The 6603-nt window shown below is 36.2% G+C and overlaps 1 pseudogene; it reads left to right on the top strand.

Annotated features, from left to right (window-relative positions):
• Nucleotides 1345-2327, top strand: HMGB3P10 (high mobility group box 3 pseudogene 10; annotated as a pseudogene).

A 6603-nucleotide genomic window follows, 5' to 3' on the forward strand; every position in this document is an offset into this window, starting at 1 on the left:
ACTTACCTGAGCCTGTATCCTTATCTATAAAATGAGGTACATGTCACCTGTCTAACACAGTCATGTGAGGACTCAATTTGTCAGCGAATTAAAAGAACCAGGTGTCCTGCCCATCATCAAGTCTGGCTGAGGTGTCACACATGAAGGTAGACACCATATACCCTTATCATTTCATATCTTGGTGTTTTGTATGTTTAGTGCTCATTTTAGGTCAATGGGGCATTTCAAGTTAAGTGGAGTAGAAGTAAGTAAAGGAAAAGTTTGGGGAAGGGTAAGTGAAATAATAGTTCAGGGTATTTTTTTCCCAGAGACATTCAGTTGGTCCAGCTCTATTTGTTGAAACACTATTATTTTTCACATTGAATTACCTGGACCCGTCTGTTAATTAGTTGGTCCTAGAAGTGAGATCCTACATATGGAGTCTCTGCTCTATTCCATTCATCTGCATATCTCTCATGAATACTGCACACTTTATTTATACTGGTTAATATTGTAGTTTTATAATAAATATTGGAATCGAGTCGGGTTAGGTCCTCCAATCTTATCTTGTTTTTTTAATACACTTTAAAAACAGTTTTAGATTAACAGAAAAATTGAGAAGACAGCACAAAATTACCACATACCCTGTACCCAGATTTTCCTATTTTAACTTCTTACATTAGCATTGTACATCTGTTACAATTAACAATCCAGTAGTGATACAATATTATTAACTAAAGTCTCAAACTTTATTCAGATTCCCTTAGTCTTTAGCTAATGTCCTTTTTCTGTTCCAAAATCCCAAAAAGAAAACCATGGTACTTTTAGTTGTCATGTCTCCTTTTGCTCTGCTTGGCTGTGACTCTTTTTCAGACTTTCCTCGTATTTGGATGACCTTGACAGTTCTGAAAATTGCTGAGTATGTATTTTGTACCAGGGTACAAACCATGGGTTATAATCCAACACAACTTGCTGCTCAAGTTGGTCCAGCTTTGGCTGTTGAAAGCTCATTCAGTAGGCTCCTGTGCCCCTTTGACATATCCCTGTAAGTGATTTTGCTTTGTTTTTTCCTTACTTTCTGGCACTACAAGATGACCCAGTCTCATCCTATGTATTTCTTACCCCAGTTCTGGAATCAGCAACTTATCCAAGAGTTTCTGTTGCTTTTATTGGAGAATGATACAGAAAACAAAATCTGGGCACTAGGCATGCTCATTGCTACTTTGTCTTTTTAAATATTGTCTTGACCATTTAAGGTTCTTTGTCTTCCCATGTGAATTTTAGAATCAGTCTGTAAACCCCTTCAAATGAGGCTGCTAGGCTTTTGATTGGAATTAAATTTATAGATCAATTTGGAGAGAATTTTCATTCTAATATTGTTTGCTGATCCATGACCCCAAGAAACCAAAGGGCAAGATATCTACTTATGCCTTCTTTGTGCAGATGCGCAGAGAACCTAAGAAGAAAAACCCAGTGGTCCCTGTCAATTTTGCAGAATTTTCCAAGAAGTGCTCTGAGAGGTGGAAGACCATGTCTGGGAAAGAGAAGTCTAAATTTGATGAAATGGCAAAGGCGGATAAATTATGCTATGATCAGGAAATGAAGGATTACATACCAGCTAAGGGAGGCAAGAAGAAGGATCTTAATGCCCACAAAAGACCACCATCTGGATTCCTCCTGTTCTGTTCAGAATTCTGCCCAAGATCAAATTCACAAAGCCTGACATCTCTATTGAAGATGTGGCAAAAAAGCTGGATGAGATGTGGAATAACTTAAATGACAGTGAAAAGGAGCCTTACCTTACTGCATTAGTCCAGTCTCATGCTGCTATGAAGAAAAACCTGAGATGGGGTAATTTATAAAGGAAGGAGGTTTAATTGACTCACAGTTCCGCATTGCTGGGGAGGCCTCAGGAAACTTACAATCATGGCAGAAGGCAAGGAAAAACAAGCACCTTCTTCACAGGGTGGCAAGATGGAGTGAGTGCCAAAAGGGGAAATGCCAGACACCTGTAAAACCATCAGATCTCATGAGAACTCACTATCACAAGAACAGCAACCGCCCCCATGATCCAATTACCTCCACCTGGTCCCACCCTTGACACGTGGGGATTATCAGGATTACAATTCCAGGTGAGATTGAGTTGGGGTCACAGAGCCAAACCATATCAATCACCAAGGCAGCAAAGCTGAAAGAGAAGTATGAGAAGGATGTTGCTGACTACAAGTCTAGAAAGCTTGATGGTGCAAAAGGTCCTGCTAAAGTTGCCCAAAAACAAGTGGAAGAGGAAGATGAAGAAGACGAGGAGGAAGTAAAGGAGGAGGATGAATTAAAAAAACTGTTCATCTATTTTAAAAATGCTTTTCTATAATGACTTTGTGTCCTACACCTCTGATAAGTTCAATTAATTTTAGCATTTTTTAATATATTCCTTAGGATTTTCTACTTAATGATCAGGTTGTCTGCAAATAAAAACAACTTTACTTCTTCCCTAATCTTATGACTTTTATTTCATTTCATTGCTTTATTGCACTAAGGCTTTCAGTACAATGTTACATATAAATGCAGAGAGCAGGCATTCTTTGCCTTGTTCTGATTTTTCAGAGGGGAAGTATTATCTTTCACCATTGAATATAATTTTGGCTGTAGGTTTTTCCTGGATGCTATTTATTACGTTGAGGAAGCTTCCACTCCTAGTTTGCTAAGTTTTTACTATGAATGTGTTTTGAATTTTGTCAAATGCTTTCTCTGCATTTACTGAGATCATCAGAAGGGTTTTCTCCTTTTTTGTCTAAACTGGTGAATTTCATTGACAAATTTTTCAGATGTTATGCCAACAGCGCATTCTTTGCATAAATCTCATTTGGCTTTGATGTATTACTCTTTGTGTAAGTTGCAGAATTTAATTTGCTAATATTTCATTAAGTACTTTTTTAAATTATGGATTTTCAGTTTATGGTCACGGGGAATATAGTCTGTAGTTTCCTTTTCATGTGATGCTTTTGTCTGGTTTTAGTATCAGGGTAATGCAAGCCTTATAATATTAGTTGGGTAATGTTCCCTACTGCTCTATTTTCCGAAAAAGTTTGTGTACTCTCAATATTAGTTCTTCCTAAATGTTTGCTGGAATTCATCAGTGAAGACATTTGGACCTGGAGTTTTCTTTCTGGGAAGGTTTTTTAGTTACATATACAATTTTTTAATTTTTATTTTTAATTGTGGTACAAATACATTAAGATAAAATTTACCATCCTAACCATTTTTATGTGTACAATTCAGTAGTGCTAAGAAAATTAACATTGTTGTGCAACAGAGCCCTAGAACTTTTTCCTCTTGCAACACTGAAACTCTATACCCACTGAACATCATCTCCCCATTTCTCCTTTCCCATCCCTGGCAACCACCATCCTACTTTCTGTTTCTATGAGTTTGACTACTTTCAATACCTCATCTAAGCGGAACCATACAGTATTTTTCTTTTTGTGATGGCTTATTTCACTTAGCTTCACGCTGTCCAGGTTCACTCCTGTCGTTGCATGTGACAGAATTTCCTTATTTTTTAAGGCTGAATAATATTTTACGATGTGTTTATACCACATTTTCTTCATCCATACATGGGCATTTGAGTCGCTTCTGCCTCTTGGCTATTGTGAATAATGCTACAATGAACATGATGTGCAAATATTTCATAGAGATCTCACTTTCAATACTTTTGGGTATATATCCAGAAGTGGAATTGCTGGATCATATGGTAATTCTATTTTTAATTTTTTTGAGGAACATCCATACTCTTTTCTGTAACCGTTGTTCCATTACATATTCCAACCAACAATGCACAAGGGTTGCAATTTCTACAAATCCTCACCAGCACTTGTTATTTTCTGGGGTTTTTTTATAGTAACCATTTTCATGGATATGAGGTGATATCTCATTGTGGTTTTGATTTGCATTTCTCAATTATTAACAATTTTAAACATCTTTTCATACGTTCGTCAGCCATATGTGTATCTTCTTTGGAGAAATATCTATTCAAGTCCTTTGCCCATTTTTAAATTTTGTTACTTGGTTTTTTATTGTTGGGTTGCAGGAATTCCTTATATATTCTGCATATTAACACCTTATCAGATATAAGATTTGCAATTATTTTCTCCCATTCTGTGGGTTGCTTTTCACTCTATTTCTTTTGATATATAGGAGTTTTGAGGTTTGATGTAGTCCCATTTGTCTATTTTTGCTTTGTTGCCTATGCCTTTTGTTGTCATATCCAAGAAGTTGTATGACTAAATCCAATGTCATGAGCTTTTTCCCCATGTTTTCTTCTAGGAGTACAGTTTTAGGTCTTCAGCTTAGGCCTTTCATCAATTTGAATTAATTTTTGTATATAATGTAACATAAAGGGCTCACTTCATTCTTTTGTATACGGATATTCAGTTTTTCCAACACCATTTGTTGAAGAGACTGCCCATTCCCCACTGAGTGATCCTGGCACCCTCATCAAAGATCATTTGACCATAGACAAGAGGGCTTATTTCAGGGCTGTCTGTTCCATTCGCTGATCTATATGTCTGTTTTTATGCCAGTACCACACTATTTTGATTATTGTAGCTTTGTAATATGTATGTAATTCAAAAATCACAAAGGGTATAGATATAGAAAATTGTACTTTTTGATAAAAATGCAGATATTCCTCACTAAAAATATATACTCTTCCTGTGTTAATTCTTCCAGCATAGAAATCTTTAAATGACTATTATATAATTCATACCTTAGAGGTAAAGGTGGTGTATATTTATGCAAATTCTCTGCATCCTTCTCAATACTTATTACCTTTTTTTATTACAGCCATTCCAATACAACATTGATGCAAAGTGACGAGAACAGACATACACTTGTCCTGTTCCTGATCATAGGGGCAAAGTGTTCAGTCATTCACCATTAAGTGATGTCAGTTGTAGGTTTTCCTTAGATGCTTTTTATCAGGCTTCACACGTGTTCAAGGGTCAACCAGAGAGAGATGTGGGCAAACAGGATTGGGGATCCCCTCTCTAGCATTTTCCTTTTCAGGATCACCCACTGACTCCAGCAGCTTCAGTTGCCCCGGCCATCAGTCCTCTGATTTCCTATGCTAGAGAAACTGCAGGTTTTCCACTGGATCCTCTGCCACCCAGCACTCTACTGACTACAACTGCCCTGATGCTAAAATGTAGAAACAGAGCTCACTCCAAATAGTTTTCCTCCTCTGCATGTGGATTTCTCTCCAGGAATCTTCCTAGAATTGTTAGAATTCTTTCTATATTCGATACTATAGAAATACGTATTCTTATTTCTTATGTGATTTGCAGATACAAATACATTCTCCCAGTCTGTGGGCTGTCTTCATATTCTTGATGCTGTCATTTGAAGCACTTAAGTATTTATTTATAGCATAGTCCAATATAATCTTTTTTTTCCTTTATCCCTGTACTTTTTGTATTATATCTAAGAAATCAATGCTTAACCCAAGGTCACAAAGATTTAGCCCTGTGTTCACTCTCTGAGGCCTTCAGGCAGCTGCTTTCTGAAGTTTACACTGGTTTTGTGGAGAAGGGTTGATTTGGTAGGCTCTTACTCAGACATTACATGCCATGCAAGTCAGATATTTAGAATGTGTGATTTCAGGAAATTCTTATCCCAAGAGTTTGACTATCATACATCAATGTCTAATTGAAAAATCCAAAAGTGTGTTTAGGTCTTCATAGAAAACCCAGAGCACAGTACAATTTCTTTTACATGTGAATAAGATATCACATGAAAAAGATATACTCTTTAGCACATGCTCTAGGAACTTCCTCTCCCCTAAAACAGAGGTATATGACCAGGCATAATATACAATTACATTAACTTCTTTGACAACAAAATAATAAATTAGATGGATACCAAATTTATGGCCAGCAATACCCCCAGTTTTTTTCTACCCAAAGTGATAATCCAAGAGCAGTAACAAGATAATCTTTTTACTGAGATGAAATTCACATAATGTGAAACTATTTTAAAGTGGACGCTCAGTGACATTTCTTATATTCACAATTTGTCAACTACCACCTCTATTTAGTCCCAAGACATTTCACCCCAAAATAAAACCTTATACTAATTAAGCAATTACTTTCTATTCCCTTCTTGCCCCACACCCAGTGCCTGGTAACCATCAATCTCTCTTCTCTCTATTGACTTACCTATTCTGGATATTTTATATAAATGTAATCATAAAATGTAAATTTTGTGTCTGACTTCTTTTACTTAACACAATGTTTGGAGGTTCATCCACATTATAGCATGTATCAGCACTCTATTCCTTTTTATAGCTGAATAATATTCCATTGTATTTATATACCACAATTTATCTGTTCATCAGTTGATGGATATGTGGGCTGTTTCCATCATTTGGTTACTGTGAATAGCACTGCTATGAACATTAGCTTTTTTCCACTTTTTTTATTGTGGCAAAAAATACATAATAATGATAAATGCTATTAAAGTACAGTTCAGTACATTACGCATATCCACAGTGTTGTACAACCATCACTACTATCCATCTCTGAAACTTTTTATCTTCCTTAACAAACTTTGTGCCCATTAAACCCTAAC

Source organism: Homo sapiens, chromosome 1 (assembly GCF_000001405.40).
Source record: "Homo sapiens chromosome 1, GRCh38.p14 Primary Assembly".
Classification (NCBI taxonomy): Eukaryota; Metazoa; Chordata; class Mammalia; order Primates; family Hominidae; genus Homo; species Homo sapiens.